This window comes from Homo sapiens, chromosome 10 (genome assembly GCF_000001405.40).
Source record: "Homo sapiens chromosome 10, GRCh38.p14 Primary Assembly".
NCBI classification, from domain to species: Eukaryota; Metazoa; Chordata; class Mammalia; order Primates; family Hominidae; genus Homo; species Homo sapiens.
Genome location: NC_000010.11, coordinates 18,262,414 through 18,276,124, shown reverse-complemented (window position 1 = coordinate 18,276,124; position 13,711 = coordinate 18,262,414). Strand labels below are relative to the sequence as shown.

Below are 13,711 nucleotides of genomic sequence, written 5' to 3'. Positions count from 1 at the left end.
ACTGAAATTGTTGCATGGTACAGAGATGTTCTGTATTTATTGATTAGTTATTATTTGAGATTACTATAAAATATATGTTAATACTTTGACATGTTGAAATGTATGAAAGATAGACAAGGAATAAAGAAAAGCTGAACCAGAATTTCCTCATTAAATCTGAACAAAGTTTCACCACTCTCGTGGCAATTAAGTAACGTATTTTGAAACCAGAGAAATTGGTTCAAATTACTAATAACAACTGATAGTAAAGTCCTACTTCAAAATTTAAAATCTTGAGCTTCTGTGGTCTGCATGGTAATTTAGAAACTATTAATAAAACATTGATTGTGTTATTCTATGCAGTTTACAAAACACAGAGCCATTATTTAACAAGAATAAATTTTTAAAACCATGATGAGTTGCATGGGAGAATAAAATCCAATTTTATTTTCTTCATGAGCCACTCATTTAATATGAAACTTTCTTTTTTTAGAAAAATAAATTTTATTTTTCTTTTTTTAAATCTTCAACTTTTAGTTTATGTTCAGGGGTACATGTGCAGGATGTGCAGGTTCATTACATAGGTAAACGTGTGCCATGGTGGTTTGCTTCAAAGATCATCCCATCACCTAGGTATTAAGCCCAGCATCCACTAGCTATTCTTCCTGATGCTTAATATGAGACTAATATTCTGTGCATACTCTTCCATCAGCTCCTAGAAGCTGATATTCAAAACCACGTGTGTATGGAGTCTCTTGTATCTATCCCCTTATTACGAAGCTAACCTTCCCCCTTCATAAAGAAGTTTGGCATTAACAGGATAAAGTTGGGAAATGAGTTCAGAAAGCTAGTATTTAGATGGCACATTGGTACTTAAATCTGACCCATCAGAGGCCTGGCAGAAAACGAAAGTCTATAGCTGGAAATCAAATCACAGGGGTATCTGTAGGAACTCTGAGCTGCTGCCATTTTCTCCAGATAGCGATGGAGCACAGCTGTCAGAGTGAAATCCCGGTTGACTGACTGACTGCATAAAATGCCATGAGAAACACCTGTCTCATCAAGGACATTAAAAAGGTAAACACAGAACAGCCAATCAAGTCAGAAAAAGCCAGCTTTCATCTCCTTTTTTGTGGAGTAGAGTCCAAATCAGTGTCTTTTAAAAGAGTATCCTTTAATCTGATTGTAGTGTCAATCATGGCTCAAGAGTTAAGTTCATTGGAAAAATAAAACTGTGTAATAAGAAATCATACAGAGAAGAAAAAAATGAAAAATCAGAAAAGGACCCTCCAGCCCTGATGGTTTTTCCCTTTGAAGCGGGGATTCATTTTGAAATTTTAAGTGTTTTTTTGGTCCATAGAAATAAGAATCCTATTATTTTTAAATGGTTATAAGCATGTTGTAACTATAGTTCAGAAATGAAAATCCTATGAAATTGGTGCTTTGAGGAGGATTGACCAAAGGTTATTTAAAATAATACATTTTAAAGCCATAAGACTAAATTAAGTGAAGGTGTGTACTATATGAGAAAAAAAAATTGTGGATTTCTCTTTTAAAACATGTACAACCCTGAAGGAAGAGAGGTCGTGACATAGAGAAGTTCTGACCCTCTCTTCACCCATCTTTAATCAAACAAAAATTCATAGGCAAACCTTGCTTAGAGTGCTTACATACAAGGTGAGAAATTCTAGGGTCTTTCTGTCCTGCTGCCATATTCAGATTTGAGAGGCAGGCGTTCAGGAGTAAGTTGAGGAAGCTTCTTGCACAACCTTAAGTCACTTTTTAAGATATTTGCAGTGTTCTTTCAGATAAAAATGGTGCTGAGGGGTGCTGATAGTTACTTACAGTTTGAACAGTTTGCAAGATACTTTTCTTATTCCTTTCCACTGCAGGTGCCTTCTCTCTCCTCTTTTTTTTTCTGGACTGACATTTATTTTCATCAAAATAAGTAGTCGGGTTGATTTATTTCACCCGAATTAACCTTATATAAGGGAAGTTGCCAACAGGCTTCACAATGTAGTCCATTGCGCCCAGGACATCCGACTTATTTCTGCAGCATCCATAATGATGTCAAAGTTAGAGGTTAGTAGGACCCCCAAGGAGTGGAACTTTCTGGAAAAGCAAAATCCAAATTGTGTCTTTCCTTCTAGATATTCAACAGAACAGTGTTTGTTCAGACCTGTGGTTCCAACAACAACAAGAAGAAATTCCAACAACAAGAAGAAACAAACGGTATGAACTGGATCTAGTAGTTAAAGTTGTACCTTGAAAGGAATGAAAGAGTATGTGGTATTTCATTTTAGCTATTTTATAAATATGTTCTTCAAAGTGTTGCTCAGTCAATTCTGCAAGCTCCTACTATAATTCAGTATTATAATTCAGTAAGTTGCCAATACTTACTGAATATCTGAGTAAAATCTTTTTGCCATGACTACTTAAATTAATTCAAATACTGAGTCCCTACTCTGCAAGTTTTTGCCAGGTACAAATCCTACTGGAAAGGCAATTCTGTATTTTGAATTCTGGATGTTTCCTTGTAAACTCCATCACTATTAGCCACCATTTCCATAATCCCCATTTATGTAATGAGGAACATCAGCACTGCTAAGCTTAAATATGTTAATTCTTCACTTTCTAAGCTTTCACCACAGGAGAGCATGGTTCACTTTTAAAAATGGTATCATAAAGTTCTGTGTATGTGCAAAAAAAAAATGCGGTTTTTATCTGCCCAGGATCCATTTCCCTCTTTTTTTTTTGTTTTGTTTTTGTTTTGTTTTGTTTTCTGGAAAACAGCACTTGGATTTTCCTCAGGGAAATCCTCTTCGTCCTCCACTGTCTGTAAGCATGGTGAGAGAGCCGATCAAGTAGCCCTCCCCTCTCCTGACCTGGGGAGATCAAGCCAGGTCACTCTGATCCCCTCTCCTAGGAACTTGAACCTTGAGACACTTGACACCAGTTGACTTGAGGTGAGCTGACTCACCTCAAAAGATAGACTCCAAGGAGCCCAGCCACAGTTCCCAATACTGAAATTCTCAGAGCAGCCCTGATCCAACCTTCAGCTTTCCTTCCATAGCTCTGCTGTTGGCCAGTAGCCCTCAAAAAATAGTGATGCACAATGAAGTCACATTGAGAGATTATTAAACATTAAATTATCAGGATCCATCCCTGAGATTCAGAGTCTATGAGTCTAAGATGGTTCCCAGAGATCTGCATTTTTTTGGGGACCAACATCCCTGGGAATCCTAACGCTAGTGACCCAAAGTACACACTAAGAAGCTGTATTAGTCCATTCTAATGCTGCTAAAAAAGACATACCTGAAACTGGGTAATTTATAAAAGAAAGAGGTTTAATGGACTTACAGTTCTTCATGGCTGCGGAGGCCTCACAATCAACGGCCGAAGGCAAAGGAAGAGCAAAGGGACATCTTACATGGCGGCGGATAAGAGGGCTTGTGCAGGGGAACTCCCCTTTATAAAACCATCAGATATTGTAAGACTTGTTCACTATCATGAGAACAGCATGAGAAAAATCTGCCCCCATGATTCAATTACCTCTCACCGGGTCCTTCCCATGACTCGTGGGGATTATTACACTTCAAGGTGAGATTTGGGTGGGAACACAGAGCCAAACCATATCAGCAGCATTGCTACAAACCTCCAATAAATTCTATCTTTTAAATTAGAAAGAGGTGATTTCTAGTATGTACCACCGAATTATATTATCCACCCTCTCTGAAGTTTTTTGGAGGGTAATTATGAATATAGAGGCATAGAACCTTGGGGGAGAGGAAGGGAGAGATCCCACATCTTCCAAGTAGATTCTTTTAGCTCACCATTCCTTGACATCTTGCCCTGTCTCCCTTAACTACGAGCCTTGAAAGTCATTAAGAAGCCTTTGTTCTAATTAGAACTATGTCCCACTCCTCTCTGTAGAAAAAAGATTGTGATCCACTCTTTCGAATAGCTATCACATTGTTTCATAATATCATATCTGCTCCAAAGAAAAAACTGATTCACCCAATAATGAAACTACCATAGAGAAGTCAATGGGACACTCTGGGGAAGCTTCACAGACTCACTGGAAATATTACTCCCTCCAGAAAAAAAAAGAAAAAAGAAAGGAAGAAAGAAAAAAATGGTAAGAGATGGAAATTACAACAGAACCCTTGTCCCTTACTCTCTTTATTCAGGTTTATTGTTTGGAAATCAGGGTAGGTTACATAAATTATTTATTCCTTTGGTGGTATGGAGGAGAATGGTGACCTGCTCATCACAAAAGTGCAAGGAAGAAAAAAACCCCAATAAACAAAAAATAAAGCTACTTCTGATGATTCAAACAGAAGAGAATTGGCTGTTATCTCAATGTAATACCAAGGAAGAGAACACACACAGGAGTCTGGCTCAATGGGAAACAGATCTATTCAGCAGAAAGGTTAGCGGGCAATGAAAGCCTCTAAACCAACAACACAAAAGGCTGCTTCAGAGAACGGCTACCTGCCTGTGCTGCCACCGGGAGAAGGAAGGAGGAAGGACACATCTCCTAAAATAGGAGCTGCTTGTTTTATATATGATAAAGATGTTAGGGAAGGTTTCCATACATATAGCCATTAAAGCCCTTAACTCAAGGCTTTAAATAATCTGGTGGTGTTTTTATTTTTAAATGGCTGTGCTTGAAGATAGGTTTTTGTTTTTAAATATGTTTTTGTTTTTAAACATATTTACCTACTTTTGTAACTGCTGTTTTAAAACAAAGTTAGTTTGTGGCTTTTAGTCAATTTCGTGCTTTCAATCAGAACTTAGATCTCCTCTGCACTTCAGTAGGTCCTTGTTATGGGTAAATAAGCTGCTTCTTGCTTTATATTCTTAAAAGAAATACAAGGAATATCATCTAAATCGGGAAAAGAGGCCAAAAGAGGAAATGATTACATAGTTGCAAACTGTAGCAACCAAATTTCTCTTCTACTTTATGCATATCAACCAAATTTCTCTTCTACTTTCTGCATATTGATGAGACCAAGGAACACTTATACCATCACAAAGCTCTGTGTATGTGTGTTTATACACACAAGTATACAGTAAATTTCACATATATCACATAAATCAATGAAGTATCTAGGGGAAGCTTCATAGACTGACTGAGAGCATTACCCCCATCCCCCAAAACGACATATTATAATGACAAGTAGGAATAAAGAGGTAGTAGTGAAAGAGTAAAAATTTGATATTTCCCCAGCATTATGTATATATGTATTCAACCATTACGTCTTGAGTGTCTGTCAGAGGCCAGGCATTCTTGCTGGGCAACAGAGATACAACAATCAAAAAGGGAATGAAAGAAACTTAAGTTCTAAGATGGGCAGACAACTAGAGGGATAATTAGGATAAGGTAGGGTAAGTGTTATGATAGGGGAAAAGCAAGGATACCTAACCGAGACCAGGGAACAGCCTCTGTGGAGGAGCACAGGCAAATAAAAGAGTGTTGATTGTTAGGAAACTGTATGAAATTCAATGCCACTGGGGGACTCCAGAGGATGAAGGTGCTGAGAATTAAGGCTAAGGAGACAAGCAGTGGCTTGATCAAGAAGTGTCTCATAGCAACATTGCTCAGATTGCACTCATATTCTCAGAAAATGGGAACCAACTGGGGGCTTTAAGCAGAGAAATACCATGATTGCTCTTGAAAAAAAATCACAATGGCAGTTCCAATGTGGAGAATGGATTGTTGAAGGATGAAGACTAAGATGGGGTGACCAGTTAGGAGGCTGCTGATAGAGTTTGGCTTTGTCCCCACCCAAATCTCATGTGGAATTGTAATCCCCATAATCCCCCCTTGTCGAGGGAGGGACCCAGTGGGAGGTGACTGGTTAATGGGTGCAGTTTCTTCCACATTGTTTTTATGATAGTAAGTTTTTATGAGATCTGATGGTTTTATAAGGGGTTCTTCCCCCTTTGCTCTCTACTCTCTCCTGCCGCCACGTGAAGAAGGTCCTTATTTCTCCTTTGCCTCCTGCCATGACTGTAAGTTTCCTGAGGTCTACCCAGTTATGAGGAACTGTGAGTCAATTAAACATCTTTCCTTTATAAATTATCCAGTCTTGAGTACTACTTTACAGCAGGGTGAGAATGGACTACTGCAGTTACTGTGGTAACTGGGGAAGAAAATAACAGCCTGCACTAGGATGGAGATAGGTGGAATAGAAAGAAAAGATTCCAGAGCTCTCAAGGAAGTAGCAATGATCGAACATGATTGAATGGATCAGAAAGTAAAGAAGAGGGACAGGACCATGTTTCTGGCTTGGACAATGGAGAGTATAAAAGTGTCATTTAATCTAACCAGTAAATGAGGAGTAGATATAAGTAGTGGTGGGAGAGTGGAAGGGAGGAGCAGAGAGAGGGAGGAACAGGACCGCAAGGATGGAGCTCAGTCTTGTATAACCATGTTTACAGTGCCTGGAGAGTTTCCAAATAGAGATGTCTGGAAACTTTTGAATATGGGTCTAAAACTTGGAAGAAAGATCTGGGCTGGGCATATTGATTTGGTAGCTATCAGCGTATGTGCAGAAAAGTTTAACTTCAATTTCTCTAGCCATTTTTTCTAGGTCTATTTTCTTTCAGATTTTCTTTCTTTTGAGCATTCCTCAAATGTTATGTTACCATTCACCAGCTTCTCTAGAGTTGAGGATGGACTCATGACCACCTGAAGGAATAGCAATATGGCAAGACATTGAATATATCATATGTAGATTAGGAGAAATAGGAAGAAAAAAATGGAGACAGGAGAATGTGGTATCACAGAAGTGAAGGGAAAAGTGTTTTAGACAGTGGGATGGGGCCATGTCTAACAGATGTGACCATGTGACCATCATGAGTTGTGTGTATCTTTAGTGACGGATGATAATTCAGTAGGCTAGCACAAATTAATGGAAATATCTCTTAAGATGATGTAAATTCACCTGCTTAGATCTCATATATTCCTTCTGACCTTTATTTATTTAGGAAATCTGCCAGCAACGAAGGTGTACCACAGTGCAAATCAACTCAGTAGGACTTGATCACCCTTCGTGAAACAGGTTCTTATCATGCAAAGCAAAGGACTTAACCCTAACCCACAGTTAAGCACCTCCACATATAACATCTCATGAAGGCCAGACCTAAAGGACATTTGGGAGCTCATAGCAGTGCTGCTATGAGACACTTCTTGATCAAGAAGAAGGCCAGACCTTGCCCTTCTTTATTCCAAAATACTTTGAGTACATATGACAATTTCTCAATCAGTAGACTCCTCCATTTATGAATTACTTTTGCTCAATGCATTTCAGGTTGAGTGTTTTCTAGTGAGGTAGGAGATAACATATTTAAATTTTATAAGCCTTTCTGGGAAAAGGTGAGGGATAAATTAATTTTAAGGCATTTGTCACATTAAATATGTATTATTAAATTAAAACATACTTATTGCAACATACTTAATGATGTAAAAGGTAAAATCCTGCCTGTTCCTCTATAATCTCATTTTCATGTGCTGTTCGTATACTGGTAAAGTCTTTTAGACCTCTACTCATGCAAACACCAATATAAATGCAAACACATGTAGAATAAATGCAATCATACTATATACATTGCTCTACGTCTTAATTTTTATATAACGTATTCTCAGAATATAAACCTCCTTCTACGTAAGTCTATACAAATCTAGCCTTTTCTCTTTAATGTCTATATGCTATTTCCTACTATAGGTGGTATACCATTTATTTATTCCTATTGTCAGATAATCCTGTTATGTCAAACACATTTTAATGTTCCGGAAACTCATATATTTCCACTGCTAGACTAGACTTTTCTGAGAACAGAGATGAAAGGTTCAATTCCTCTGTACATTTCTAACTTTCAGAATAGCCTTGGGCAAAGAGCAGGGACTCAGTAATTGCTTCATGAATGAACAGTTAGATGATGACCACTACATTCCTACATAATTCAATACGCTTTACAAGAGCTTTCTTTAAAACAATGAAGGCATCCTTCTAAAAGGGACTGCTCTTTTTCAGCACTGGAGAAGTTGTACTCAGATGCAGAGGGAGGTGGGAATAATCACAATTGAAACAGTTCACATTTACTTGAGTACTTACTCCGTGCCAAGTGTTTTCATAGTTTAACACATTTAATAATCATAGAAAACTTAAGAGTAAGACTCTTATTATTCTTGTTTCATAGAAAGGCAAGTTGAGGCACAGAGTGATGAAGTAACTTGCAGGAGCTTCTCTGGTGTGCAAAGGCTGGGCCGCTGCCCCGGAAGTGTCATTCACACATGAAACTGCCTCTCCAATGGGAAGAAAAAGTGATAGGTGTTAACTGGGGCTGTGCTGGGAGATGCTAAGGCAACCAGAGGGTCCCATGACCCTGAACATGCACCAACAAGCTCATTCTCTACACATGCCCAGAGGTTGCCAACCACCAACTTAATTTCATTTTCCCGCCTCTGTGCTTCTTAATGTTTATATGAAAGTTTACCTCATTTCCCTTTTTATTTTTTTGTTTTCTTTTTTGAGATGGAGTCTCACTCTGTCACCCAGGCTGGAGTGCAGTGGTGTGATCTCAGTTCACTGCAACCTCCACCTCCTGGGTTCAAGTGATTCTCATGCCTCAGCCTCCTGAGTAACTGGGATTACAGGTGCCCGCCACCACACCTGGCTAATTTCTGTATGTTTAGTAGAGATGGGGTTTCACCATGTTGGCCAGGCTGGTCTTGAAATCCCGACCTCAAGTGATCTGCCCACCTTGGCTTCCCAAAGTGTTGGGATTACAGGAGCGAGCCACCACACCCAGCCCCTTATTTAATTTTAATAAAATGTCATTATGTAGTGAGGTTTATAATTAAAGCCAAATTTAAAGTTCTGAAAAAAATTAAGGATTTTAACATGGCCAATATTAAAAGCTATTATTAATAAAAAAAAAATGCAGTTCCAAATATGAAGTTATCAATTTCTTACGAAAATACATATATGAACTTGACATTCAAAGATACAGAGGTCTTAAAAGCCAAATATCACCCTTAAAGGACATCTTAAGACATTATCTGGAAAAGCTCTGAGTGATTTAAGGAGACAGATATATATACATACACACACACACACATATATACACACACACACATAGTATATATACACACATACATACACACATGCCTTTAAAAATCATTTACTGTGCAAATATATTTCCCAAGGCATATATAAGTGTATAGCTCATACTTATTTATTTATTTAGAGATAGAGTCTCGTCTGTCTCCCAGGCTGGAGTGCAGTGGCACGATCTCGGCTCACTGCAGCCTCCACCTCTGGGGTTCCAGTGATTCTCCCGCCTCAGCCTCCCGAGTAGCTGGGATTACAGGCATGCACCACCACGCACGGCTAAGTTCTTGTATTTTTAGTAGAGACGAGGTTTCACCCTGTTGTCCAGGCTGGTCCTGAACTCCTGACCTCAAGTTATCTGCTCATCTCGGCCTAGCAAAGTGCTGAGATTACAGGCGTGAGCCACCGTGCCCGGCCCGCTCACACTTATTTTAACTGTCGGGACAATTCTGATCACTTGTAAAAAGTATGAATTGTGAGTGAACAACCACAATTAAAAAAAAAAAACTATACTACCTACATTCTACTAACCAGAAATCTCTGTGAACAGGCACTTCAGCACTTCTCTAGCCCAGTGATAATTGATTTTTATACCCAAAAGCACTACAACATTTTCATGTTAATTAAATTTAATTATAATCCCATTATTTAAACTTGGAAAGACATTCCAAACAAGATGACCAAAGCACTATACATGGAATAAGAGTCAATTTCAGCTTGAATCTCAGTTTGACCATCCTCAGACTCTGTGGCCTTTGGCAGTACAGTTTACTTCCCTGGTTTGAAATTTTCTCATCTATAAAATGAAGACATCATCACTTCCTTTGCCTATCCCTAGTGACTGCTTTAATGTCAAATGAAATAGTGGGCATAAAAGCATTTTGTAAACTTTGAAGAACTATGTAAATGTGCGTTGGAACAATCAGAATTTAACTAGAGTACCGAATTGCTTAAGTTACGGTATATATACAAATGCAATATCATTTGGTGACATTTAAATGCTCTAAAAGCTCAAAGGTGATCACACACTATGGAAAGTGTGGATCTTATAAGAGATTACTAACATGTGGACTACATTACCTTCCAGTATCTAGTCATTTATTAATAAAAGCTTTTCAAGACTATTAGTAGTTAGCAACTAACACAGGCAGCAACCAAGTAGACAGCAAACTCCCCTGCTTCATGATCTCCTATCACAATAACTACTCATTTTTCAAAAACAACTACGTATCAGGCCAGAAGTAAGTGCACACAAACATTATTTCATCTTAACTCTCACAATAAACTTTTGAAATTTTACTATTATCCTGATTATATGGGTGAGAAAACCGAGACTCAAAGAAAGAAAAGAACCCCACTATCACACGGTAAGTAAATGATTATATCAAAATTCAAACCCAGGCTAAGTCTGATTCCATTTGTATATATCTCTGTCAGTAACATTTGTCTTTAATGATTTTGTTATGCTAATCACCAGATGCTTTTCTCCTTGCCAGTTCTTTTCTGAAGGAAAATGCCTGAAAAGACAGATAACCTAAGACAAAAAGAAGCAAGATACTTGAACAGGTACTTCACAAAAGAAGATGGCTAAATGGCCGGGTGTGGTGGCTCACACCTGTAATCCCAGCCCTTTGGGAAGCTGAGGTGGGCGGATCACAAGGGCAGGATTTCAAGACCAGCCTGGCCAATATGGTGAAACCCCGTCTCTACCAAAAATACAAAAATTAGCTGGGCGTGAAATTGGCGGGCACTTGTAGTCAGGAGGCTGAGGCTTGAATGCGGGAGGTGGAGGTTGCAGAGAGCTGAGATTGTGCCACTACGCTTCAGCCTGGGCAACAGAGTGAGACTCCATCTCAAAAAAAAAAAAAAAAAAAGAAGATGGCCAAATGGTCAATAAATATATGAAAACATGCTTGACTTCATTAGTTATCAGGGAAATGCACAGCAAAGCCATAATGGGATACTCTGACATACTCATCAGACACGCTAAAATGCAAATGACAATACTAGGTGTAGGGGGGAGGCACACAGGTGGGAGTGAACATTGACCCGATGTTTCAGAAAGCTGCTGACCAGCATCTACTTAAGCACAATGTATTTATACTGTACCCTATGACTTGGCAGTTTCATTCCTTGGTTTGCATCCAAGAGAAATGCATACATAAACATTCACAATATGGCATGTCCCAACTGTTTATAACAGCACTATTTATGATAGCCCCAAACTGGAAACTACCCAAATGCCCATCAACAGTAGCATGGATCACTAAGTCATCACAGAGCCACACAATGGAATACTGTACAACCGTGAGCACGAGAAATTGCAGCTTTAACTATGTGCAGCCACGTGGGTTAATATCATGAATACAATGGTGAGCAACACAAGCTGGATGAGAGGAGAGTACATGCTGTTTGAGTTCATTTGAATAAAATTCAGAAACAGGAAAAACCAATCCACCATGTTAGAAGTCTGTTTAGTGGGTACCCTGGGGGAGGTGGGAGACAGCTGGAATTGGAAGGGAGGAGAAGGTTGCTCACAATGCTTGGTTTCTTGATTTGAGTGTTGGTTACAAAGGCATGTTTGCTTTGAGAACATTCTTCAAGCTCAATGCTTATATAATTTCTGCACCCACTTTTCTGCATGTATGTTATACTTCGATAATAGTACATTTTAAAATAACTAAAAGGGTATAATTGGATTGTTTGTGACACAAAGGATAAATGCTTGATGGGATGGATACCCAATTTTCCATGATGAGATTATTATGCATTGCATACCTGTATCCAAGCATCTTATGTACCCCATAAATATATACACCTATTATGTACCCACAAAAATTAAAACATTTTTTCAAAAAGCTTACCAAAAAGAGTTAGTGTCTCTGCTCTCCAAAGCATGCAAATGTCAATACTTGAGAAGTGTTTCACAGAAATGCACACAGAGCTTACCATGTTTATATATCCTTTTAAATTTAAGAGTATTTATTCAGCTCACAGATTTTCATGTCCTTAACGAAATAGCAAGACAGTTTAGGTAAACACAGGAATTACTTCTGAGCTGCGAAGCTGAGTTCTAAAAGAATGATGGTTAGGAGTAAACAAAAGAATGAAGACTAGATATTGAACATCAATAATAATGTCAAGAATAAAGCTTATGCATTGAGTCTTAAAGAGCAAGACAGGACTACAGTCTGCAGCCTACTTCTGTGAGCCCACTGCTCAGAGAAGTTTTGAATCTGAATGTAACGTTAAACAAGTGAGCGGAGGCAACCTAATAAAAGCAACAGCTTAGAAAGGTAAAAACCTAGAAATAAAGAACTATGGCATATGAGTATAACTTTCTTTGAAACCCACATAACTTTCATATTCTTTCTGAGAGACAATGTTTGAGTAGGAGGAATTCTTAAGAAAGCTGTCATACTAAAAAGAAAAGGTATAAGAACTAGTGAAAGATTAAGACACATGCACACACAGGTGCATATTTATCAATTGATTTATATTACATCTAAAATATATTATTTATGTAATTAGATCTAACAGATATATGCATACATGTATGTATATAAATATTGACATTTAGTTCCAGTATTACCAGAATTGTGATTCCTGGAAACTGACAACAGATTTGAGAAAGGACACCAGGACAGCCCAACCAGTATGACGAGGTCCTAACCACCAGTACCACATAGGGGTCTGGCTGCCCTTTGTATTCAATGAGCAGCCTCTAGACTCATCTGCTTTGCGGTCAAATCTAAAGTCTCCGTTACAGATAGATGCACAGTGGGTTCTTTTCCTTCAAGGAAAAAAATAGGTTTCGATTTAACCTATCTTCCACTCTGGGTTGGCCATCTGTAAAGAAAACTGCAATCCATAAAGTGTCAAAGAAGAGAGGTTAAAACAGCAGCAGGTGGGTTAGAGGTAAGGCTTCCCAAGAGAAAAACACTCTAAAGTAAACGAAAATTTATTTCTAGTGACCAAGGGTATGCATTTCTTTTATCTTTAAAAGACATCTGTGCTCTATATTTTGTGGTACTTTATTCAAAATACAGGGTAAAAATATTTGAGAATGAGCAGATGAACCAAGTCTCTGTAGCTTTCAATCAAGACTTCAAAAATCCAGATTATGTTGTCTCTTCTTTCTATTTATTTACATGTTCAATGTAAGAAGAAGAACTAAAATAAGTAGGGTAAAAATTTGTTGCTTTGTTGGAGGCCTTATTTCAGAATTTTTGTATTCAATAGGCACACATAACCATGGATTTCTTCTAATTCATTATACAAGAATAAACAGAAACACAGAAAGCTAAGAAATTCTCACTCTTCACTATTCTAGAAACTATGGATTTTTAAATTAAAATTATTTTTGTTTTTAACTTAAGGTTTTCTTTAGGCGGCTAATCTTATACTCTAAAAAGTTTGTAACACTTATTCCCAAATCTTATTTAAAAAGCAATTAATTTTTTGACTGGATAAAAACCATCTATCCCTGCAGATGTCGTCTTTAGAAATCTTGGCTGGCTACCTGACTCCTCCATTGATTTCTGATATGTCAACTGTTGCATTCAAAAGACAAATGGCACCAAATATGTAACAACTGCAAAAACCTTTAA

At 38.0% G+C, this 13,711-nt stretch overlaps 1 protein-coding gene across 9 annotated transcripts in view; it reads right to left on the bottom strand.

Moving 5' to 3' along the window:
• The window catches only part of CACNB2 (calcium voltage-gated channel auxiliary subunit beta 2), a 403,134-nt gene that overhangs the window by 267,433 nt on the left and 121,990 nt on the right, over window positions 1-13,711 (bottom strand). The window lies entirely within an intron of this gene.